General features: G+C 57.6%; 1 protein-coding gene across 10 annotated transcripts in view, besides 5 other annotated features; it reads right to left on the reverse strand.

The window, feature by feature from the left end:
- EXD3 (exonuclease 3'-5' domain containing 3) overlaps nt 1–24,584 on the reverse strand; it is a 116,267-nt gene that overhangs the window by 40,443 nt on the left and 51,240 nt on the right. For 3 of the 10 annotated variants that reach the window (NR_104598.2, NM_001286823.2, XM_047423546.1), the window contains 3 exons: nt 20,598–20,651; nt 19,155–19,294; nt 18,807–19,023 (listed from right to left, as the gene is read on the reverse strand). Coding sequence is in view for 9 of the 10 variants with exons in the window: in NM_001286823.2 (NP_001273752.1) it covers nt 18,939–19,023; nt 19,155–19,294; nt 20,598–20,651 (279 nt within the window). In the remaining variant the exon portion in view is untranslated. Of the gene's footprint in view, nt 1–732; nt 901–1,771; nt 1,945–2,030; nt 2,197–3,699; nt 3,810–3,979; nt 4,191–4,727; nt 4,864–5,281; nt 5,449–7,000; nt 7,040–7,257; nt 7,436–8,929; nt 9,031–9,918; nt 9,969–10,988; nt 11,269–18,806; nt 19,024–19,154; nt 19,295–20,045; nt 20,196–20,597; nt 20,652–24,584 lie in introns of those variants that run through there. The other 7 variants (XM_011518810.2, XM_047423542.1, XM_047423544.1 and 4 more) reach the window with 5 other exon arrangements.
- Nucleotides 3,636–4,145: an enhancer, noted in NCBI's record as "H3K27ac-H3K4me1 hESC enhancer chr9:140245426-140245935 (GRCh37/hg19 assembly coordinates)". NCBI's record gives its function as "activates a minimal SCP1, AML or CMV promoter by ChIP-STARR-seq in primed H9 embryonic stem cells {active_cell/tissue: H9 hESC(primed)}" and the evidence as "EXISTENCE:reporter gene assay evidence [ECO:0000049][PMID:30033119]".
- Nucleotides 4,146–4,654: an enhancer, noted in NCBI's record as "H3K27ac-H3K4me1 hESC enhancer chr9:140245936-140246444 (GRCh37/hg19 assembly coordinates)". NCBI's record gives its function as "activates a minimal SCP1, AML or CMV promoter by ChIP-STARR-seq in naive and primed H9 embryonic stem cells {active_cell/tissue: H9 hESC(naive and primed)}" and the evidence as "EXISTENCE:reporter gene assay evidence [ECO:0000049][PMID:30033119]".
- Nucleotides 20,900–21,501: an enhancer, noted in NCBI's record as "H3K4me1 hESC enhancer chr9:140262690-140263291 (GRCh37/hg19 assembly coordinates)". NCBI's record gives its function as "activates a minimal SCP1, AML or CMV promoter by ChIP-STARR-seq in primed H9 embryonic stem cells {active_cell/tissue: H9 hESC(primed)}" and the evidence as "EXISTENCE:reporter gene assay evidence [ECO:0000049][PMID:30033119]".
- Nucleotides 22,205–22,405: a silencer, noted in NCBI's record as "peak7347 fragment used in MPRA reporter construct". NCBI's record gives its function as "represses an SCP1 promoter by STARR-seq MPRAs in K562 erythroleukemia cells {active_cell/tissue: K562}" and the evidence as "EXISTENCE:reporter gene assay evidence [ECO:0000049][PMID:32103011]".
- Nucleotides 22,887–23,076: a silencer, noted in NCBI's record as "fragment chr9:140264677-140264866 (GRCh37/hg19 assembly coordinates)". NCBI's record gives its function as "represses an EF-1alpha promoter that drives an FKBP-Casp9 reporter gene in an ReSE screen in K562 erythroleukemia cells {active_cell/tissue: K562}" and the evidence as "EXISTENCE:reporter gene assay evidence [ECO:0000049][PMID:32094911]".

The raw sequence follows: 24,584 nt of genomic DNA on the forward strand, positions 1-24,584 counted from the left end.
GGACTGAGGTTTCCTTGTGCGGCGTCCTCCATCTTCAAGCCAACAATGGGACACTGAATCCTTCCTGTGCTTTGAATCTCTCTGTCTTCTGTGTTCCATTCCTGCTTTTTTTCTTTTTTTTTTAAGATGGAGTCTTGCTCTGTCAGCCAGGCTGGAGTGCAGTGGCGTGATCTCAGCTCACTGTAACCTCTGCCTCCGGTGTTTAAGCGATTCTCGTGTCTCAGCCTCCTGAGTAGTTGGGATTACAGGCGCCCGCCACTACGCCTGGCTAATTTTTCTATTTTTGGTACAGACGGGGTTTCACCATATTGGTCAGGCTGGTCTCCAACTCCTGGCCTCAAGTGATCCACCCACCTCGGCCTCCCAAGGTGCTGGGATTATAGGCATGAGCCACTGCGTCCGGCCCCATTTCTGCTTTTAAGGGCTCATGTGATTACACTGGGCCCACCCAAATAAGATAGACTCTCTATTTTAAGTTCAACTGATTAATAGTGTCAATTACATCTGTAAATTCCTTTTGTGGGACAATGAGGGCTGAGGCTGGGACCATCTCAGCCACTTGGCCCCCAACCGCTCCATCCTTGGCCACCCCGTCCTGTTCCCAGAGCCTGCCTGGCACAGCTGGCAGCCATGGATGAGCTGGAGGGAGGAGTTTGATGCTAGGGGTGGGCACACCTGTGCTAGGGGCAGCTGCACCTTGGGAGGACCCCAAGACCCTCCCCGCAAACTCACCTCGGCCGCCCTGCGGTGGTCTTCACCATTGCCCAGCATGCGTGCATCCACACCGAGACAGCGGAGGCTCCGTGCCAGCCCCTGCAGCATGTTGTCACACACCACACGGAAGGCCCTGGCCGGAATCTGAGGGGCAGCGCCCTCAGACACAGCCACAGCCACAGGGACCTGCAGTGAGGCCCTGGTCAGCAGTCCCACGGTCACCCCCCAGCCCCTCACAGCCTCAGAGAGCCAGGGCCCTGAGGCTGTGTGGCCAGCACTCTGTCTCTGTTTTATCTTCAAAAGATAAAACTGTGTGTGCTGTGCATAAAACAGCAGAAACGCAGACAAAATGCAGTGAAACCACCCCTGGGGGGCTCTAGTGCTCATGCTGGGGGGGCTCCACGTGTGTGTCTGGGGTGGCGTGTGTGCCCAGAGAGGGGTGGGGATCACGGGGAGGGGGCTAGATAGAGAGGGGTGGGGATCACAAGGAGGGGGTTAGATAGAGAGGGGTGGGGATCACGAGGAAGGTGCTAGATAGAGAGGGGTGAGGATCACAAGGAGGGGGTTAGACAGAGAGGGGTGGGGATCATGGGGAGGGGGCTAGATAGAGAGGGGTGGGGATCACGGGGAGGGGTTAGATAGAGAGGGGTGGGGATCACAAGGAGGGGGCTAGATAGAGAGGGGTGGGGATCACGGGGAGGGGTTAGATAGAGAGGGGAGGGGGAGGGGGCTAGATAGAGAGGGGTGGGGATCACGGGGAGGGGGCTAGATGCTGCCTTGGGCCATGGGAGGGGCCTGCCAGGCCAAGTATCAGGAGGGGACTGGGGCACTCAGGGGCACGGCTGCCTCCTGAGCAGTGACCCCCCAGGCAAGCGCAGCCCCCGTGACAGTCATGCAGGAGGTTCACCAGGACTTTGCTCCCCTCTCGCTCCAGGAGCTGGGCCCCCTCCACACGCTCTGACCCAGTGGCCTTGTCTCCATGCAGGTCCTTGGTTTATGGACAGGGATCTCCTTCCCCAAGAATGCTGACAAACGGACCCTGCGGGGCTTCACCCACCTGCCTGGGTGCGGCCGGTGCTGACGCTTTCTGCAGGCCGGGTGGCTTCCGTGCCCCTGGTCTCTCTCTGTGCCTGGGCCTCCGGCTCCCAGCCAGGTCCTCCGACAGGTGGAAGCGGGCGGGCTCTCTGCACAGGGCTTGGTGCACCTCCAGCAGGCAGTAGGCGTCGGCAGCTGTGTGGGGAGTCGGCCTCAGCCTCCCGGGACAGAGGGCGGGAGGGGCGTGAGGAGGGGTCACTCCCACCCGCCGCACCGCACACCTGCGTAGATGACCTGCTCCTCGCAGAGCGGCCTCCGGTCCCAGTTGGACAGCTGCTGCGTCTTGTCCAGGGCTGTGCCCAGCACCTGCTGCACCAGGAGGCTCAGGCCCCTCAGCTCCCTGGCCCTGTCCACGGCTGGGGCTGGCACGCTCGCCACCCGCATCTGCTAAGACAGTGCCCTGCAGGGTAACGCGTCTGGCCCTGGCGGCAGCACAGTCACCGTGCCCACTCACACCAGCCCTGCGGGGGCTCTGGAGGAGGCCCCGCCCCCTCCACCAGCGGCCCCCACAGCAGAGACGGGGAGAAGGAGCGGACACATCCGAGGAGAGGCTCCACGTGGGGGTCCCAGGCTGCAGGCACTGCACACCAGGGCCAGCTCCGGGGGCCCTGGTCAGCAGTCCCACGGTAACCCCGCCCAGCCCCTCACAGCCTCAGAGAGCCCGGGCCCTGAGTCTGTGTGGCCAGCTCTCTGTCTCTGTTTTATCTTCAGAAGAGGAGCACTGGGTGTGCCGTGCATAAAACAGCAGAAACGCAGACAAAATGCAGCGAAACCACCCCCGGGGGGCTCTAGTGCTCATGCTAGGGGCGCTCCACGTGTGTGTCTGGGGTGGCGTGTGTGCCCAGAGAGGGGTGGGGATCACGGGGAAGGTGCTAGATAGAGAGGGGTGGGGATCACGGGGAAGGTTCTAGATAGAGAGGGGTGGGGATCACGAGGAGGGGCTAGATAGAGAGGGGTGGGGATCACGGGGAGGGTTCTAGATAGAGAGGGGTGGGGATCACGGGGAAGGTTCTAGATAGAGAGGGATGGGGATCACGGGGAAGGTTCTAGATAGAGAGGGGTGGGGATCACGGGGAAGGTTCTAGATAGAGAGGGATGGGGATCACGGGGAAGGTGCTAGATAGAGAGGGGTGGGGATTACGGGGAGAGAGCTAGATAGAGAGGGGTGGGGATCACGGGGAAGGTTCTAGATAGAGAGGGATGGGGATCACGGGGAAGGTGCTAGATAGAGAGGGGTGGGGATCACGGGGAGGGGTTAGATAGAGAGGGGTGGGGATCACGGGGAAGGTTCTAGATAGAGAGGGGTGGGGATCACGGGGAGGGGGCTAGATAGAGAGGGGTGGGGATCACGGGGAAGGTTCTAGATAGAGAGGGGTGGGGATCACGGGGAAGGTTCTAGATAGAGAGGGGTGGGGATCACGGGGAAGGTGCTAGATAGAGAGGGGTGGGGATCACGGGGAGGGTTCTAGATAGAGAGGGGTGGGGATCACGGGGAGGGTTCTAGATAGAGAGGGGTGGGGATCACAAGGAGGGGGCTAGATAGAGAGGGGTGGGGATCACGGGGAGGGGGCTAGATAGAGCCCCAGGGGCTCCCTCCCGCAGCTCCTCCAAGTGGAACCCAGGGCTCAGGTCTGGGGGAAGGTGCCCTCACACCAGATAACGGCCCCACAGGGGCTCAGGGATGCCTGCACCAGGAGGCCCTGCTCCCTCCCTGGAGATGCCAGATCCAGCTCTGCCAGGCTCTGCTCTGGGGCCCTGGTGACTGAGGCTGTGCTGACAGGAATCCGGCGGGAGAAGCCCAGGGCCGCTGGGAAGGTGTGGAGGGGCCCCAAGCAGCCCTCGAACCCCAGGCCCACCCGGCATCTTGTGAGCGGCTCAGTGGGTGCCCACCTGTCTGTGCACCAGCAGCAGGTCCATGCCGCCCAGAATCTGCTTCTCCACATGGGCCAGGGCGGGGCAGGACGTGCCCAGTTTTTGCAGGTCCCCCACCATCCCGTAGCCTGTGGGCAGGAACCATCGTGGGAGGGGCGCCTGCAGGCAGGGACCGCACTGTCCCCTGACCCCAGGGTGCACCCAGCACCCTCCCCGGGGCACACGGAGGGAAGGGTCAGGCAGGGGTGCGGGCTGCTTTCTTTCTGGACTGGGCAGGGGGCCCCAGGGCTTCACTCACCCAGCTTGGTGATAGAGGGGTCCGAGAGGAGCTGGGCCACCAGCCGGGAAAAGGCCTGGGCTCCCTGCCCTGTTGGTGGCTGCGAGAGTGCCAGGACGTCCAGAAGGAACACGTGGCCCTCCACGGCCACCTGCAGGAGTGACGGCCGAGGCCGGCCCCCAGCAACAAACACAGGTGTCCACTCCACGTCTACACCAACCACTTGGTGGCACTGCGGGCAGAGAGGGGCAGATGTGATCATCAGGGCCAACTTGGCTCTGCAGGGACCACAGCCTGGAGGTCCTGAGCAGCTCTGTGAGCTTGGGCTTCGGGGAGACGCCCCTGCACCCCTGCATGTTTATAGGGCTGGGGCTGTTGGGGGCACTAAGGCCTGTGCTCCAGCTGCCCCCTGCTTTCTGTGGCTGCACCAGAGAGGGAGGCCTGGCTGTTGTGAGCAAGAGCCTGGCCTGGTGCCCACGGCAGTGCCCGTGTCAGGGAGGCACCCCACGTCTCGGGCACCATCTGTAAAATGGGGATTCCACGGCACCTTCCACAGGCTGGCAGCACTGGGTAAATGCCAGCAGCCAGCATCCTGGAGTCTCAGCAGCACAGTGTGGGGAACGGCTGCCCTCACAGCAGCCCTGGGGCACCTGGCGGGCTCATGCCCAGAGGCCTTGCCTCTCTCCGAATGCCATGCCCCTGATGCTCCTCCAGTGCCTGGCAGGGGGATCCCACCACCGGGCGCTGCCCCAGCGGCCGAGGGAACCACCTGCAGGAGTGCACCCTCGTGTCTGGTCAGGTCTTCCCACGAGGCCAGGAGGTGGACGTTCTCCCTGGGGATGGGCAGCTGGTAGTAACGGTCCTTCATGTCCTTCACCTCCAGCCTCGAGTCAGCCTCAGTCGCCCTGGGAGGAGCAGAGCTGGTAGCGCCCCCATGTCCCTGGTCCCCCACCCACTCTGACCTCGGAGCAGGAGGGGAGCATTCAGGGCCTGTTTGGTGGGGGCATCTCAGGTCCTGGCTCCTCCTCCCACACCGGCTCAGTCCAGCCCAGCGTGACCCTTGCTCCTGCCTCTCCTCCCAGTGGCCCTGGTGACTGTCCCCCCAGGGTCCCTCATGGGTCGGGCTGGCCATGGATCTGGCAGCAGAGGAGGAGGGCTGGGCCCTGCTGTCTTGTCTGCTCTGTGTATAGCTGCGCTCTTTGTTTTGTCTTGATTTCTAATTCTCAAGCCACTGGCGTGAAGACTGGTGAGCTGTCGTCCCAAGGGTAGGGGCCACCCTGGGCGGAACCCACCCCTGGCTGGGGTCACCCTGGCGGCGCTCACCTCCCCTGGAGCCTGAACCGGCGGAGTTCCACAGCCACCGCAGCCGGCAGCCGCTCCTCGGGCAGCAAGAGTTCCATGGCACACTGGGCGGCCGTGACTGGGTCACTGTGGGAGACCAGCAGCTGAGACAGCTGCTCCTGAAGCCACGGGCTCTGCCCCACCAGGCCCTGTGAGGAGGGTGGCCGTGAGGATGGAGATGGGGACATTGCTGTGCCACAGGGCCCTGCCCCGAGGGACCCCCGTAGACCCCGACCTTGCAGACTGGCTATGAGCACTCGGGGAGGAGGGGCAGCCGTCCACCTGAGGCCTGCAGCATCTGTCCTGCCTGAGGTCAAGGTTCCACAGGACCAAAGCGGCTGAGATAGAGGTGCTGAGGCAAAGGCTGTCCACCCCAGTGTAGCCCCGGCTGGCCTTCCGGGTCTCCAAGCCTGAGGTGAAGGCTGCCCACCTCAGTTCAGCCCCAGCTGGCCCCTCCTGGCCTCCAAGCCTCCGCTGACCTTCCCGGCCTCCAAGCCTCCACCGGCCCTCCTGGCCTCCAAGCCTCTGCTGACCTTCCTGGCCTCCAAGCCTCCACCAGCCCTCCTGGCCTCCAAGCCTCCACTGACCTTTCCAGCCTCCAAGCCTCCACTGGCCCTCCTGGCCTCCAAGCCTCCACTGACCTTCCCGGCCTCCAAGCCTCTGCCGGCCCTCCTGCTCTCACCAGGCATCTGCCCCCACCCCGGGTCCCAGGAGCCCGGGCATGTTTTCTGGAGCACCTGCCCAGCCTGCCCCATCTCCACGCTCCTCCTCTTGCCAGGGGAGCCCCTCTGCCCCTTCCCCTCCTCCTCATTATGTGGGGTTTGGCTGGCAGGGCTCAGGAGGCTATTGGGCACCCATTCACCCATGGCCCAGGAGCAGACAGAGGGGTGCCCTCTGGGTGGCAATGACCAAGGGGGTCCTGAGAAACCTCATCCTCACCAGGGTGAGCTCTCTCCCACCCCGCAGCCACCGTGGCAGCGCCCAGCCCAGGAGCAGAGGCACCTACAGGCCTGCGGGACCCTCAGCCCCCGCTGGGAAATGCAGGGCCCAGCACAAGCGAGGGTCTCCCTCCCCGCAAGGTCCTGGAGTCCATGGGTCCAGGATGGCCTTGAGTGTCAGGCGGGAAGGGAGGGGACCTGCCCAGCAGGCTGAGCTCCTGCACGACCTCCCACCCCACGGCCTCGAGGAGGGTCCGCCTGCCCCGCTGGCTTCAGGCCCAGCAGCCTGAGGCTGCTTCCCCGGCGTGGGTTCCCACGTGGACGACAATACGTGGAAGCCGCCCGCATTCTTCAGGACGTCCGCTGCCCTTCCGGCCGGCTCTGCGCTGGCACCGGGCTGGGGGGGCCTGGCCTTCCTCCTTCCGGCCTCGCCCAGGCGCCTTGCACCTCTCTGGTGACTCTCAGCCCCCACCCGGCCCCACAGGCAGCTCCGCTGGGTTGGTTCGGGTGGCACGGACGCTGCCGTCTGCCTGGAACGAGGCCCAGTCAGGCTCTACTGATGCCCTCGGCTCCCGCTCAGGCCTCCCGGGCCTGAGGACCCTACACCCGCCTGCCAGCCACACGCCCCAACATGGGGTCTGGGCTCAGCAGCCCCAGCGAAGGCCTCAGCTCTGCGCACTTCCACCAGGAGGCTCCGGGCCTGTGCCCCTAGGACAGCCGCCCAGGCCGCCCTGCCGGCTTACAGGCAAGGGCACGAACTCACCTGCACATGGTCGGTCCAGTTCTCCTGTGACAGGCTCTTCTGCAAAGGCAAACAGGAAGGGGCGGTTGCCAGGCAGCTCCAGAGGCTGTATCGGGGCCTGGTGGGAGTTTTCCTCGACCCCTGGCAGGGTACATCCTTGGCAGAGCCCAGGTGCTCACCCGCCCTGGTGCCACAGCCCAGAGCCAGGGCCCCATGGCCTCCCCTTCACCCAGGCCTGGCCCAGCTCACCCAGCTCTGGGGCAAGAAGCAGCTCCTACTTGATATGTCTGTGCACCCTGCAGTGCGCAGTGAGTATCCCAGGCCAAACTCTGTGGCTCAGGCCGCGGCTGGCTGCCCCCAGGACCCCCTCCTGCTCACGAACCTCCACAAACCGCTTGTGGCACAGGTGCCGCAGGGCCGCCAGGCGCTGCTGAATGGCCGCGTTGGGACACAGCGCTGAAAGGAAAGGCCAGCTCAGCACTGAGGGCTCAGGGCAGCCTCACCACGGCCTCCTTCTGGGGCGGGCTGGAGACGGGCAGAGGGGCTGCGCCTGCCCCTTCACCGTCCTCCACCTCTGCCCCGGAGCCCACCCCCTCCTCACCACCTGGGCCTCTGCTGGGGTCCACCCCACTCAGCCTGGGGGTCCCGCCGGCCCCGGGGTCTCCCTTGCACTTGTGTGGCGGGCCCTTTCGTCTGGCCTCCCTCTGGGGCCTCCCTGTCTTTCCTCAGGGAGTTTCCTTCTTGGCGTTGGCATCTGCGTTTGTGCCCTGCCCTTCTCTCACTGGCACGTGGAACCCTCGTGGACAGAGCCGGCTGCTCACTGTGGGTCCCGTGACTGAAGCCCCATGAGCGGCAGGGACTGAGGCACACGCACGTCCACACCCTCCGTCAGCCTCACCTCCATACTCCACTCCAGAGCCTGAGGGGGCCCCGGGGAGGGCACCACAGTCTGGCTGAGCCCTTTTCCCCCAGGGTGCGGCAGCCAGTGGTGCTAACGGGCTGGCTGGTCCTCAGCGGGGTGCCGACCTTTCAGGGCCCCACCCCCCACGCCCAGAGCGCAGCCACGGGGAGCCGGGCGACCATCTGCCCTGAGGCAGGGAGGAAGGAGGAAGGAGGATGGAGGAAGGGAGGATGGAGGAAGGAGAAAGGAGGAAGGAGGAAGGAGGAAGGAGGATGGAGGAAGGAGGAAGGAGGAAGGAGGAAGGAGGATGGAGGAAGGAGGAAGGAGGAAGGAGGAAGGAGGAAGGGAGGATGGAGGAAGGAGGAAGGAGAAAGGGCGGAAGGAGAAAGGAGGAAGGAGGAAGGGAGGATGGAGGAAGGAGGAAGGAGGAAGGAGGAAGGAGGAAGGAGAAAGGGAGGATGGAGGAAGGAGAAAGGGAGGAAGGAGGAAGGAGGAAGGAGGAAGGAGGAAGGAGGACCTAGAAACACTGCAAAATCCAGATAAAATTCAAACTTCCGGCCAGGTGCCAGCCTGTACCCTCCTGAGATTCAAGGGCCCCATGGAAGGGGCCTCAGTGCATCTTCCCGGCCCTTGCAGGGGGTCCTGGGAGCAAAGGGGACCTGGCTTCCCTTGGTGTCCAACGACACAGGCAGGTGTGGCCATCAGCCTGTCCAGAGGGGCCTGGGAGGAGTGGCTGGAGTCCTGCGGACTTGGACTCAGCACTCACCCTCAGCTCTGCAGCCAGGCAGGAGGCAGGAAGCCCTCCCGGAGCCGCCTAGGTGGGCAGAGGAGCTCATAGACCCGTTGGCTGCTCAGTCGCAGGGCCCAGGCCAGGCCCACCTCACAGCCACTCTGGCACGAGCTGGGCAAGAGGCAGGGAGGGGCTCTCTGGGAAGGTTGGTCTTGGTTGGCACCTGAACAACGGGCAGCCCCAGTCACAGAGGATGTCCCTGGCCACGCTTGGCGGCTCTCCCTGGCCTGTGGGGCAGGAATGTGGGGGCTGGACTCACCTGGGGCTACGCCGTACCGCTCCTGCAGACGCAAGACCTGCCTGCTCAGCGCCTTCGGACTCAGCTTCTCCAGGCTCAAGGAGGTCACCTCAGGGTACCGTCTGTGGGGAGAGAGAGGCACAGCCTCTGTTGCTGTTTTAAGTTAATACATTTTAAGATTTTCATTTTCATCATAGTCATATGCATGCATAGTTTAAACCTCAAGTGAGGTTTATAAGAAAATGCAGGCGTCACCGCCCCCCGCCCACCCCATCCTTAGCACTTGGAGGTCGACATTGAAATGGTTGTGTATTTGCCTCCACATTTCCAGATAACATCCTTGGATTGTGATCTCTTGATTGTTGACTTCTGGGTATTTGGTATTGACTTCTCCCCACGGAAGGTGGACTCCCGAAATAACAGTATTAGAGTTTTAGCTAAATCAGCACCTTCCTCACTGGTGATATTCTGGCTGTGCAACGGCCTCAACGGCCCAGCCTTCTGCTGCTGCTTTCAGGGTTAATGCTTATCTGGCTCTGTTGTTTCTCAGTTACCCATCCTGGTCCCTTGATACTTGGCTCCTCCTGCCCCTCCAGCCACTCTCTAGCTCCTGCCCTGCAAGGTCCTGGGACTGACACCCCCATGCCCTGGTCCACACCCTCCGACCTCCAGGTAGTGGTGAAGCACAGCCGCTGGGTGTTTCCCAAGATAAGGTCCACGGGGTATTTTTGGAGATGTGCACCTCCAGGGTCTGTGCCCGCTGCACACCAGCTTGAGAGTTCAGTGGAGCCAAGACTTCTGGGTTGAGATAACGTTCCCTTAGCACAGGCAGGCTTGGCTCCCAGAACTGCTGTTGAGACCCCAGAACCCATTCCTATTCCTGCCCCTCTGATGTGGCCTGCTCTTCTGGAGGTTTTGAGGCTCTTCCATTTTCACTAGTGTTGAGAAACTTCATGACAACGTGCCCCACAGGGGGTCTCTCTCCACCCACCTTTGGCCACTCCACAAACCTGTTAAGTCCGGCTCCTGTGGGGGCTCCCGTGGCCTCACATCTGGAAACCTGTCAGCGATGAATTACTTAGGAGTTTCCTTCCCTGCTCTCCCTTCTTCCTGGAATCCCAGTTATTTGTATGTTGGACCTTCTTGACAGAATCTCCAATTTTAAACATCTTTTCTCTTTGATTTTCCTTCTCTTTATGTATTTTGTACTGCTTTTTGGAAGACAACTTCAAATTATTTCCAAACCTCCCACTGAGCTTTCATTTCCCATCCTGTCCTTCATCCACCAAGTTCTGTCCTACAGTCTGAAAGCTCTTTCTGTGGGGCCCCCATCTCCACTTCACAGACGCAGTATCTTAGTTACAGCATTTGTGCTTTTAAGGTTTCTTTTGCTTCCTCCAAGCTCCAGCTTAGTGTCTGTATTAGGGTTCTCTAGAGGGACAGAACTCATAGGATATATATACATATATATATTATATACAGGATATATATATATGTGTATATATATATAAAGGTGAGTTTATTAAGTATTAACTCACACGATCACAGGGTCCCACAATAGGCCATGTGCAAGCTGAGGAGCACAGAGAGCCAGCCCGAGTCTCAAAGCTGAAGAACTTAGAGTCTGATGTTCGAGGGCAGGAGACGTCCAGCATGGGAGAAAGATGTAGGCTGGGAGGGTAGGCCCATCTAGCCTTCTCATGTTTTTCTGCCTGCTTTATATTCCAGCCTTGCTGGCAGCTGATGAGACGGTGCCCACTGAGATTAAGGGTGCGTCTGCCTCTCCCAGTCCACTCAGTCGGAGGTGAATCTCCTTTGGCAACACCCTCACAGACACACCCAGGATCAATACTTTGCATCTGTCCATCCAATCCAGTTCACACTCAGTGTTAACCATCCCAGTGTGTTAGTGTTAGCATGCGTGTGGCTGGCGAGAGGCCCCACAGCCCTAACTGCTCCTGCCCAACACTGCCCTGCAGAGGAACCACCTCCCTGTGTGCACGGCGTGGCCTGGTAGCCCTGGAAGGCCAGAGGTGCTGTGGGCTGAGAAGCGTCTGTGCACCTCCAGCAAGGGTCTCACCTGTGTCCTCCTGGTTTCAGCACGGAGCCCCAGCCCTGTCCTCAGCTGTGGCCAGAACACCGTGCCGCTCACAAAGACCCCCTGGAGACCCTGTTTCCAGCCCAGCTTCTTGGAGGAATCTGGGCCTCCACTTCCTGTGCCTCCCGGGGGCTCCGAAGCCAACTGGCTCCTTGCATTTGCAGGTTCAGCACTCTCAGGCCTCCGAGGACAGTCGCTGCCTGGACATCTGTCTTCCGGGTTCCAGCTCCCGTCTCCCCTCTTATTCTCTTGAAATTTTTGTCTTCATTTTAAAGCAAAGAGGCAATAGATGCTTGTGTTTAACTGCCACTTTAAACTGTAACTCCTACTTAAAACTTTTTTAAAATTAAATGTATATATTTGACACAGGATCTCACTCTGTCCCCCAGGCTGGACTGCAGTGGTGTGATCAAGGCTCACTGCAGCCTCAACCTCCTGGCCTCAAGTGACCCTCCCACCTCAGCCCTGAGTAGCAGGACTATAGGCATGCCCCACCACGGCTGGCTAATTTTTGTATTTTTTGTAGAGACGGGGTTTTGTCACGTTGCTCAGGCTGGTTTCAAACTCCTGGCCTTAAGCGATCCTCCCACTGCACCTGGCAAGGCCTACTTTTTTTTTTTGAGGCAGAATCTTGCTCTGTCGCCCAGGCTGGAGTGCAGTGGTGCCATCTCGGCTCACTGCAAGCTCCGCCTCCTGGGTTCATGCCATTCTCCTGCCTCAGCCTCCAGAGTAGCTGGGACTACAGGCGCCCGCCACCACGCCTGGGTAATTTTTTGTATTTTTAGTAGAGATGGGGTTTCACTGTGTTAGCCAGGATGGTTTCACTGTGTTAGCCAGGTTAGTCTCGATCTCCTGACCTCATGATCTGCCTGCCTCGGCCTCCCAAAGTGCTGGGATTACAGGCGTGAGCCACCGTGCCCGGCCAAGGCCTACTTTTTAAGATAAACTATTTACTGAGGTATAAGTGACACACGGTAAGGTATGCCAATCATGGGTGCAAATGCACCGGTAAACCCACTGCCCAAATCTCAACATAGAACGTTCCAGGCCAGGTGCGGTGGCTCACGCCTGTAATCCCATCACCTTGGGAGGCTGAGGCAGGAGGATCGCTCGAGCCGAGGAGGTTGAGTCTGCAGTGAGCTGTGGTTGTGTCACTGCACTCCAGCCTGGGTAACAGAGTGAGACCCTGTCTCTAAAGTAAAATGTAAATAAAGGACATTCCAGCACCCCAAAGTTTCTCCCGTGTCCATCTCTGTGTATCCCCATCCCACACTTCTCTGACTTCTATGGCCAGAGATTATTTGCCCGATTTTGAACTTGATGCAAATGGAATGATAGAATAGGGACACTTTGCCACTTTTGGATCTGGCTTCTTCCATGCAGTCTCTGTCCACGCTGCTGAGTGTGACGAGGTTCAGTCTCTCACAGCTGAGTTTGTGAACCGTGATCACTGCATCCACTGCTGCTCTGGGGACTAGGGCTGCTCCCGTGTTTCACAGATGATGATTAAGCTGCCATGACTGCGATCTTTTGTGGATAATGAGCTCATTTCTCTCGGGCATATGCTAAGTGGACTCGGACAACATATGTCATAGGGTTGGCATACTTTTTTTGCTTTAGTAGAAACTGCTAAATAATTTTCTGAAGTGTCTGCACCAGTGCACATCCCACCAGCAGTGCGTGAGGGTTCTGGTTGCTCCATGTCCTTGTCACCACTTGGTATGTTCGACTTTTAAATTTTAGCCTTCCTGATGGGAGGTGGTGGTATTTCTTTGTGGCTTAATTTGCATTTCCCTGATATTAATGGTGCTTAGCAACTTTTCCTACATTGGCTATCTGGATATCCTCTTTTGTGATGTGCTTATTCAAGGCTTTTGCTCATTTAAAAACTTGGTTTGTTTTGTCTTTTATTGTTTATTTGCTTTGTAGGTTTTTTGCTTAAAAATACTCTGGATACAGTCTTTTGTAAAATATGTACTGTAAATAATCTTCTCTTGGTCTGGAAGTTGCCTTTTCACTCTCTCAATGATTTCCTTTGACGTCCAGAAGGTATTAAGTCAAATTTGTCAATCTTCTTCTGTTATTCTCTTTCTTTCATCCTTCCTTCCTTTTCTTCTTCTTTTTTTTTTTTTTTGAGATGGAGTCTCGCTGTGTCACCCAGGCTGGTGTGCAATGGCACGATATCGGTTTACTGCAATCTCTGCCTCCCAGATTCAAGTGATTCTCCTGCCTCAGCCTCCTAAGTAGCTGGAACTACAGGCATCTGCTACCATGCCCAGCTAATTTTTGTATTTTTAGTAGAGACGAGATTTCACCATGTTTGCTAGGCTGGTCTGGAACTCCTGACCTCAAGTGATCCGCCTGCCTCAACCTCCCAAAGTGCTGGGAATACAGGTGTGAGCCACCGCACCCAGCCTTTATTCTTAGTGATTTTATATCCTATTTGAGAAAGCTTTATTGCAAGTATAAAGAAATACAATTGGCTTTTATAAACTTACCTTGTAACCAGTGATCTTGCTAAATTTACTTATTAATTCTAATAATTTATCTGTAGATTTTTTGGTTTTCCTTCCCTACATATAAAAACATATCTTCTGAGAAAATGACAGTTGTTTCTTTGTACCCGGTCTTTGCACTTATTTTCCTGCCTTCCCGCCTGGCATGGGTCCTTGGTACAGTATTGAATAAAAACAGCAGTTCTCAGACATTAGGCAACAGGTGGCTCAGGGCAGTGATGCCCGAGTGATGGGAAGCGAGGCTGCCAATCGCTCCATCTTCCCTCCTGGAGAAACTTCCAGCAACATGCGAGGGAAGGGGAACCCAGGAGACACTGGGTGCTTCCCTGAGTTCGCAGAGAAGAGATGCCCAGAAAAAGAGCTGTGGAGCTCTGCAGGGAGCGCCCTTGAGAATTCGCCCAAGTAAAGAGCACCCTGCGTGTGAGGAACTCACACAAAGCAGAGGAAGGGCCACCTGAACACATTACAGGGAAAAGTTTTCAAGCCTTACAAAGAGCTGGGAACAGGATCTGCTCCCAAGACCCAGAGTTTTAAAAGCTTCCTAATTGGCGGGGCATTGACTATAGTTCTAAGAAGGCTCTTGCCTCAGAAATAGGGGAAAGTTAGGCCGGGCACTGTGGCTCATGCCTGTAATCCCAGCACTTTGGGAGGCCAAGGTGGGTGGATTACGAGGTCAGGAGATCGAGACCATCCTGGCTAACATGGTGAAACCCCGTCTCTACTAAAAATACAAAAATTAGCCAGGTGTGGTGGCAGGAGCCTATAATCCCAGCTACTCTGGAGGGTGAGACAGGAGAATTACTTGAACCCGGGAGGCGGAGGTTGCAGTGAGCTGAGATCGCGCCACTGCACTCTAGCCTGGGCGACAGGGCGAGACTCTGTCTTAAAAAAAAAAAAAAAAAAATTACCAGGCATGCAGAGAAGAGGAAATATGAGGCCAAATGTGATGAGTAGAAACTGACCTAGAAATGACATAGATCATAGAATTACTGCAGGACAAAAAGACACAAATCACCAGCACTGGGAATGGGAGCATTGACATCACTACAGACTCTACAGATAATAAACATATAACAGGAGACTATTATGAACAACTTTAAGCCAATAAGTTTGACAACTTAGATAAAATGGACAAATTCCCTGAAAGACAAAAACAACCAAAGCTCATTCAAAAAGACATAGGCAATCCGAATAGCCCTATTTTAAGGAAAATGGTTTTCGGTTAGAGGTTAGAGGTAATACCAACTACACACAGTTTTCCCAGAAAATGGAAAGGCAAGGGAGTAATTCCAAGCTCATTCTATCAGGCAAGCATTTTTCTGATACCAAAAGTAAAAATATATTACAAGAAAAGACAATGACAGACCAAGATCCCTCATGGACATGGATGCAAACATCCCTAACAAAATTTAAGCAAATGGAATAAAAGTTACCCCAAAGGAATACATAATGGTCAAGTGCAGTCCATCCCAAAAATGTAAGGTTGGTTTAACATAGAAACATTAAATGGTGCAAATGCATCATACTAACTGATTAATAAAGAAAAACCATGTGTTCATCTCAATAGAAAAGTCATTTTTATAAATTCCAGCATACATTCCTGATAAAAATTCTAAACAAACTAAGCATAGAAAGGAACTTCCTCATTTTTTTTTTTTTTTGATAGAGTCTCACTCTGTCCCCGGAGCGCAGCAGTGCAATCACAGCTTACTGTAGCCTCGACCTCTTGGGCTCAAGTGATCTGCCCCACCTTGGCCTCCCAAAATGTTGGGATTCTGGGTGTGAGCCACCGTGCACGGCCCCTTTGCCCATTTTAACTTGGGTTGTTCATTTTCTTATTGCTGAGTTTTGAGAGATCTTTGTATATTCTGGATAACAGTCCTTTATCCCACATCTTTTTCAGATATTTTCTCCCAGTCTGTTGGTGTCTTCTCAGTCTTTGTTGTTGTTGTTTTTGTTGTTGTTTTGAGATGGAGTTTCACTCTTGTAGCCCAGGCTGCAGTGCAATGGCGCAATCTCGGCTCACTGCAACCTCTGACTCCTGGGTTCAAGCAATTCTCCTGCCTCAGCCTCCTGAGTAGCTGGGATTATAGGCATGAGCCACCACACCCGGCTAATTTTTGTATTTTTAGTAGAGATGGGGTTTCACCATGTTGGCCAGGCTGGTCTTGAACTCCTGACCTCAGGTGATCCGCCTGCCTCAGCCTCCCAAAGTGCTGGGATTACAGGCATGAGTCACCACACCCAGCCCTCTCATTCTCTTAATTCTTTAATATGTTAGTTGACTTGATTGCTAATATTTTGTTTTGTATTTTTACATTTATCCTCATGAAATATGTTGGACTTTAGTTTTCCTTCCTCCTAATGTCCTTTTTGAGTTCTGGCTTCTGAGTTTAAGCTGAATAAAGTGAGTTGGGCTGCGCTTTTTTTTTTTTAATTCTCTATAAGAGTTCATACAGGATTGGTGCAATTTCCTTTTTTTTTTTTTTTTTTTTGGGACAGAATCTCCCTCTGCCACCCAGGCTGGAGTGCAGTGGCGTGATCTCGGCTCACTGCAAACTCTGCCTCCTGGGTTCAAGTGATTCTCCTGCCTCAGCCTCTTGAGTAGCTGGGATTACAGGTGCCTGCCACCATGCCTGGCTAATTTTCGTATTTTTAGTAGAGACGGGGTTTCACCATGTTGGCCAGGCTGTTCTCAAACTTCTGACCTCAGGTGATCCGCCTGCCTCGGCCTCCCAAAGTGGCTGGGATTACAGGTGTGAGCCACTGCATCCAACCATGGTGCAATTTCTTTCTTAAATGTTTGAAAACTTCACTACTGAAACCATCTGGGTTCTAATAAAGTTTTCTCTGTGATAAAGCTTTAAACTGTGGATATAATTTACTTAATAGATATATAGGACTATTTAAGTGTTCTGTTTTTGCTAGTGTCAGTTTTGGTAAATTGTATTTTTCAAGAATTTGGTCTATTACATCTAAATGGTCAAGTATATTTGCATTAAGTTGCAAACAATATCCCCTTACGACCACTTTAATGTCTATACGGTCTGTAATAATGTCCCCCCTTTCATTCCTGATGTTCATCACTTATATTTTTATCTCTTTCTTTCTTAGCATCCCTTGATGATCTATGCCTGAATCAGTTACTTTATTGAGAGTTGCAATATGGTGATTTTTCATTTTGTCATTCCTTTTCCATCTGTTAGCTGGAAGATGTTGTAAAGAAGAGCTTTCCTCCCTACTTCCCTTAGGCATCACTGTGGACTCGTGGACTTTTAAAAGTCAAGGTGTTCTACTCCATTACCATTGTCATTTTTGTGCTCAGTCTATTCTCTGAAAAGCCCTTGCTTCTTTCAGCGGAGAATGGCATTTGGTGACTAAGAGCTGGCAGCCAGTCATGCTCATGGCTATGGGGTATCATTGCATCCAGGCCCTTTCAGAGCACAGAGCTAGGAAAAATTTTAAAAATCATTAATTTAGGCCAGGTGCGGTGGCTCATGCCTGTAATCCCAGCACTTTGGGAGGCTGAGGTGGGTGGATCACCTGAGGTCAGGGGTTCGGGAGCAGCCTGGCCAACATGGTGGAACCCCGTCTCTACTAAAAATATAAAAATTAGCTGGGTGTGTTGGTGCATGCCTGTAATCCCAGTTACTTGGGAGGCTGAGACAGGAGAATCACTTGAACCCGGGAGGTGAAGGTTGCAGTGAGCCTAGATTGCGCCACTGCACTCCAGCCTGGGCGACAAAGGCTTCATCTAAAAAAAAAAATCATTAATTTAAACCAATATCTGCAATGAAATCTAACACTGCAGGGTCTTCTTCACCCTCCCAGTTTCCGTGTATATTTCTTTTCTTCGCAATGAGACCCCTGGTTCCCACCTCCATCAATGCATTCACTGTTTTGTTCTATGTTTTTTTTTTTTTTTTGAGACTGAGTCTCGCTCTGTCGCCCAGGCTGCAGTGCAGTGGTACTATCTCGGCTCACTGCAAGCTCCGCCTCCTGGGTTCACGCTATTCTCCTGCTTCAGCCTCCCGAGTAGCTGGGACTACAGGCGCCTGCTACCGTGACCAGCTAATTTTTTGTATTTTTAGTAGAAACGGGGTTTCACTGTGTTAGCCAGGATGGTCTCAATCTCCTGACCTTGTGATCCACCCGCCTCGGCCTCCCAAAGTGCTGGGATTACAGGTGTGAGCCGCCGAGCCCGGCCCTATGTCTTTTTTTTTTTTTTTAAGTAATAGGATCGATGGCAACCGACTATGTGCTCACCTGTGCCTGGCCTGACGCTGTGCGGCTGCTGCCTGCTCCCTCTGATGAAAAGTCTTAGCAAGCTTTGAGTCAGGTGGACTCAGCCCCATTGTGCGAATGAGGAAACAAACTCAGAAAGTGGAAGTGACTTGGAGGACAAGTGGAGGAGGATGGGCCCGGGACGGCCTGACGTCCAAGTCCAAGCCTGTGACTCTCCAGTGAGACAACCCTGGGGCTGTGTGGGGAATGGAGGCCGGGATCTGCCTGCCAGTGGATGGGCCCTGGAGCCTTCACAGACCTTTCAGCTTGCTTCACTCTCGGGGCACCTTGACCAGATATAGAGCAGGAAGCCCCTCCCCTCCCAGATGTCATCCCTCATATCTCACACACACACACATGCACACCTGCAGGCACACACACGTACACACACATGCATGCACACACAGACCTGCACAAACATGAACACAGTGCACACACAGGTACACACGCACACACATGCACACACACGCACACCTGCAGGCACACACACGTGCACACACATACATGTACACACACCACACGCACACACATGCACAGGCACACATGCACACACGTACACACCCATGCACACACACATACAAACACACACCTACAGGCACACACATACATGCACACACACACCACATGCACGAAAACACACGTACACCTGCAGGCACACACATGTACACATCATATGCACGCAGACATACACACCTGCACAAACGAACACAATGCACACACAGATATACATGCACACACACACACCTGCAGGCACACACATACATGCACACACATGCACACCTACAGGCACACACAAACGTGCACACACGCACATATCACGTGCACACACAGAGACACACACATGCACACCTGCAGGCACACATGCACATGGGCACACACATACATGCACACACATGCACACACATGCACATGGCTTCCCTGAATCCATACAGGCACCATATGGGCTCCTTGTCAGGTGCTGCCTTTTCTCTGTAATTGCTGACAGACGTCACACACCAAGTGCTTCCAAAAACTTTATTAGATGAAAGAACAAAGGAATGGATGAACAAGAAAGCAGTACGGTTGCCATGCCTGCATGAGAAGAGCCACCACGGAGAATTATTTTCGTTCTTCTAAGAGCAGTTAACTCTTTTCACTCGGGAGAAGAGGGCTGTGCTCCTGCCAGCCCCAGCCGCTCCTCTCCAGAGGCAGCTGCTCCAGCTGCAGTCACATGGCAGCTGTGACCCAAACACCAGAACTTCCTGGGGAGAGCTCTCCCACGCGCCTGCTGCCCCCCTACACTCCCTTCCCTAACCAGGGCTCCCAGGATGCCATCTGGTGCCAGCTGCCAGCGCCCCACGGGACTCACCTGGCAACGTCCTTGATGTCAAAGCCGGGCTGGCACCAGGAATCCATGAGGACCAGCAGCCTCCTCTGGAGGTCCGGGAAGCCGGCCACATAGCGCTCCACGAGGGCCACCTTGTCCTGGAGGAGCAGTGGGATGCTCATCTGCAGGGGGACACACGGTCAGGCCACAGCCTCCGCCACCTCAGCCAAAACCTGACTCACCTCCAACCCAGAGGGAGCGGCCAAAGTGTCAGAACGAAAGGGGCCCAGAGGCCGTCCAGGCCCAGCAGTGCTCGCCCGGCCAGTGCTCACGCTCACACACACTCGCCCAAGGCTCCTGCTGGGCTCTGTGGCCATCCCCATCTCCATGATGAAGGCCTGGAGGCCCTAAGAGGCAAGGGGGACCCTGGGGAAGCTCATTTGTCACCAAATGTGGGGAGGCAGGACCAAGACAAACCACTGGCAGTAGCCCTGGTAGTCCGGAAATGCCTTCTCGTGGCACATGGTACCAGCACTGCCTCCCGAGCAGGTCTGCAAGACCCACACGCTGTCGGTGCCTCCAAGAGGCCCTGAGGGAGTCCCTGGCTGTGGCGCTGGGCCTTGGGGCACACCAGCCATTCCCTCAGCAAGAACGAATTCCCGTAGACAACGCCCCTCGAAGAAGACTCCTCACCTCCCTTCCCCCACCTCCTCTGCCCCACAGGTGAGGCTGCCTGGCGCCGACTGCATGGGGCCCACCTGCCCAGCAGTGCCTTGGGGGACAGTCCTCGGGCAGAACGCGAAGCCCCAAGAGCCCTCTCTGGCCCCAGCTCTTGTAGACCTGGAGTCTGCACCCATCGCCCGGAGCACAGCCCTGCAGGCTGTGTAGACACCCCTCCCTCTTTAGGGAGACCAGGATGCGTCCCGTCCCCACCTGGCTCTGCCCGAGGGGTGCTCACTCCCCCACCCTGCCCCTGCTTAACCAGCAGGTTCCCCTTGTGTCCCTGTGATGTGCACGAAGTCCCATTGTAGAAGCTTGGATCTGCCATCCCTGCAGACACTGTGGGTTCGAGGACTGTGTCATCTGTCCGGAAATTCACAGTTAGGTGACTGCTTCCCCCAGCCCACTGCACGGTGGAGGCGTGCAGCAGAGGAGGGTCCCAGAAGCACATGGGCTGCGTGTCCTCGAGGCAGCTGGTGCCCACTCCAGGGAAGGGGTGGCCCCAGCTGCTGCACGGAGCACACTCAGGGCTTCAGGGGACAGCTGGACACGGGGTTCGTGTACGTGCGGCTGCGTCTGATTTGGGGTCAGCCCATGAGGAGGATGGTGGTTTAGGGGGCTCTGGAGGCCCTCGCCGGCCCCCGATGGCCCTGCTGTCCCCCACTGTGGCTTGGTGGACTCCCGACCTCCAACAAACACTGTTTATAGAGACCTGGGCGTTATCCAAGTTTGAACCTAAACAATTTACATGAGAAAGACGTTCACCTTTTCAACGCCAAGCTCCGACTGCAGCTTCAACGTCGCGCCCAGCGTGGCTGCCTGGCAAACACAAAGGCGGCAGATTACTCAGGGCCTGGGAGGGGCCAGGCAGCACGGCGGGTGAGGGGGCTACCACCCTTTTGCACCAGCACCTGGTCACTGAGGCCGGAGTGCAGGGCCTTCCCGTGTTCAGCCACGTGGCCCTCAGGCCGAGGGGCCTGGCCTGGCAGACAAGCCCCCCCGTGCTGAGCCAGGCCTTGCATAGGCTGGGACAGGTGGGAGGCCTGGGCTTGGCCTGGATGGGGCAGCAGGGACTCAAGGGGGTGGCTGGCCACACAGCCTGGGTCCCAGGGCCTTGCTCGGGGATTGCTGATGAGCCAGAGGAAGGCTAGGAGGTGGGGTCAAGGCAAGGCGCAAAGCCGTGACCTCCCACACGACCCATCTGCGGGCCCCAGAACACAATGGTGCCTGCAGTGGACGGGCCAAGGCTGAGGACCCCCAGCCTCAGCGCATCCTGAGGCCTGGGGGGTCCTAGCCCTTCCCACGAGGCGGAGACGGGCACCCCGCGAGCGCTCCAAGGCCACACTGGCTGCGATCGGGGCACGGCCGGGCCCTGACCGCCTGCACGTACCACGGGCCTGAGCTGCTATTAATAATTTCCATAAGCCGCGCTCCCATAGCCAGCAAAAATGACCCACGAGAGCAGCCCGCGGAGCATCGGCGCCCCGCCCCCGCGCAGCCCAGAGAAAGGACCAAAATAGCGGCCTGGGAAAGCCTCGAGCCGGCTTCCAGCCCCGGTGCGCAGGGTGGGGGCGCAGGGCCGGGGGCCTTTCCCTGCGCAGCGCTGACCCGGCGCCTCTACTGTCTGGCCAGGGTCCAAGAGGCTAGGCCTCCACCAGGCCCATGGGGCGCAGGGCCCGGGGCGGGGGTCTCAGGGCCGTGGGGAGGGGCGAAGGTCCGGGGCGGGGCCCCAGGGCTGTGGGCAGGGGCGCCTGGCCCGGGAAGGGAGTCTCAGGCCCGTGAGGAGGGGCACAGGGCCGGGGGACGGGGTGCAGTGCCCGGGGCGGGGTGGGGGGGCTTCTCAGAGCCGTGTGGGGAGGGGCGCAGGGTCAGGGGAAGGGACGCAGGACCCGGGGAGGGGGTCTCAGGGCCGTGGGGAGGGGCGCAGGGCCCGGGGCGTGGGAGTCTCGGAGTCGTGGGGAGGGGCGCAGGGCCGGGGCGGGGCCTCAGGGCCGTGGGAAGGGGCGCAGGGCCGGGGAGGGGCACGGGGCCACCACATGGGGAGGGGCGCAGGGCCTGGGAGGTGGGCTTACGGCTGTGAGCATGGGCGCAGGGGCCACCACATGGGGACCACCCCAGCAGTGACACCCGCAGCTTCACACAAGGGCTCTGATCCCTTCTGGATCAGGGACCCCCTGAGAAGCTGCCAGAGCTCCGGAAGGCAGGGGTGCAGGGCCGGACACCTCACCCCGTTCAGAACCGCAGGGTGGTCACAACCCGCCCGCCCTCTGCTCCTCCTGCCGCATGTGGTTATTGTCAGGTGCAGGGAAGTGGAGGATGGGGCTGCGCCCGGCACCTCCTTGGGACCAGGCCCTGAGCAGGTGACGCTGGGACCAGGGAGGCTGGGGACACAGCAAGGGGCAGGTGGCCAGGGCCTTCCCTCACCGCTGCTGTCCCCAGCCTCCCTCCGAGGGACAGACTTCAGGCTCCAGTCCCAGCCCTCGGCGGGCCCCACCCAACCAGGAACCCCTCTGAGCCCAAGAAGGCCGCCTCAGGCTTGCAGAGGAGCCTGGGTGGGGCTGGGTACTGGCCGTGCTCCCCAGGTGGGTGGCTTCTGCCTCTGTGTCCCGCACGCTGCGACCCCGTCAGAGGCAGTTCAAAGTGCCCAGCTCAGCCCTTCTCTTCACCACGGCCATTCAGAGCCCAGGGCTAACAGGTGTCTGGACCTTTCTTTCTAGGCCCACAGAAGCTCTCTGGGCACCCGGGGCCTCTTGAGGCCAGGTGGGCTTTCTGGACATGCAGGCGTCCTGGGGCCCCCAGCATCTGTGTCCACATTTTGTACCCGGAGCCCAGTGGGGGCTCTGTGGCCTCGCAGCTTGGGGGACAGGACGAGGATGGAGCTCCCCTAGCTCCACCCTGGTAAGGGCAGAGCCCAGGCTTGCTCATGGGCAGCCCTGGTGACAGGGGTGGGGGGCTGGGGGGTGGCTAGTAGCAGACCCACCCCTTCCAGGAAGCTCCCTGGCCTGACCCCTGTCTCAGGCTTTGGGGGCCCTGCTGGCCCTTTCACTGTGGTGGTGCCTGGCTTAGAATCAGCGTCTGGTCATTTCTGTCTGAACTTCCCTGAGAGGACGGTGTACAGCTGCCCACTGTCCATGCCTGGCCACTTGGGAAACTCAGCAGGCACAAAAAGGTCACCTGGCCCCAGAGCCAGGCCCAGGGAGCAGACAGCAGAAGGTGAAGAGTCCTGGACCCCGTGGGAGGAACGAGCCCGGGGCTGGGCCATGAGGACAGATGGGGCAAACTGGGCCCCTCTGCACCAGGCAGACCTTCCCGACCTCTGCTGCCAGAGGATGGGAGGCATCCACCAGGAAGAGAGAGACGAGGCTGTCCAGCTGGCGGGGTCGGGGTGGGGCTGTAGAAACCTCTAGACAGGCCCAGGAGCTGCTGCTTTCAGGAAAAAAAAAAAAAAAAGAAAATCAGGAGGGGCTGTGGTATCGACCATCGGGAAGGGCATTCCCCGGCTCCCCTGGGCCCCCCATTCTAAGGGGCAGGAAGGCTGGGCAGGTGCCCAGGCTCGAAGGCCGAGGACCCCAGCGACAGCCCTGCCTCCCACCTCTGCGTGGGCCTGGAGCCAAGAGGGCCTTTTTTTTTTTTTTTTTTTTAAAGCAAAGCTATCTTTTTACCTTGATAAGCTGTTTAAAAAATGTAAATAAAATAACTCAGCGGACAAAAGCAGGCATTCATCCTGCCCAGGGCCAGCCGCTGCCCTCGACATGAAATATCGCAGCACATTGAGTCGTGAGTCCCAGCTAATCCGAGCGGACAGGCCTGAATGCGGCCTCTTTCGGCCGGGCGCGGCGGTGAGCAGTGGAGCATGCATCGCCTGCCGGGCGGCCCCGCTCGGGGACAATGGCTTTCTTCGCAGAAGGGGCCTGTGCGGGACAAGACCCCCTTTGTGTGGGGATTCCTGCCTCGGAGCGCGAGGGAGGCGCATTCAGCCGGCCCCAGACAGTCTTTGAAAGGCTCTGTAACAGAAGACGGCCCGAAACACTAGCCTGCCTTCTGCCTCCCTGCACTCTCCGCAGGCACGGCCGCCATTCAGCGTCGCGCCACATGAGGGGGACCCTCCATCCTGCATTGTCCTGTGCCGGGACATGGTGGCTTCTCAGCGCCATGCACCCGCCGCGAGACGACGGCCCCGGGCGTGGCAGGTGACAGCGCCAGGGGTGGGGCCCGCGCGGCCCACACAGGGGACACTCCTGTGAGGGCCCGGCCAGGGCAGCCCCCGATGCCCGTGCCCAGGTTCCAATGCACCTCCTCACGGTGAGGGGTCTTGCTGGGAAGAGGAACCCAGGGTGCCATCGGGACGGCGTCTCAGCAGCAGGGTCCCACGTGGGCAGGCAGCGGGGTGGTGGCCTTCACGCTCGGCCCTGAAGTAAGGGGGCCCTAATGGGGCGGGGAGTGGACCAGTGCCCCTGAGTGCCGGCCTCCTCATACATGATCAGTGCACCCTGAGCTGAGCACCCCCAGGCCAGGCACCCCCGGGGCTGGGCACCCCCAGGCAGGACACCCCTGGGCCAAGCACCCCCGGGCCGAGCACCCCCAAGCAGGACATCCCCTGGCAGGACACCCCCGGGCTTCTTTGCCGCACCTCGTGCTGCACCCTAGAATCTGCACTGGGATCTGGAATCTCAGGGCACCGAGAAGTCATGGGGGCTCCCCTGCACCTGCAGGAACAGCTCAGAGCCACCCCACGCAAGACGGCCGCCTCCC

Source organism: Homo sapiens, chromosome 9 (assembly GCF_000001405.40).
Source record: "Homo sapiens chromosome 9, GRCh38.p14 Primary Assembly".
Classification (NCBI taxonomy): Eukaryota; Metazoa; Chordata; class Mammalia; order Primates; family Hominidae; genus Homo; species Homo sapiens.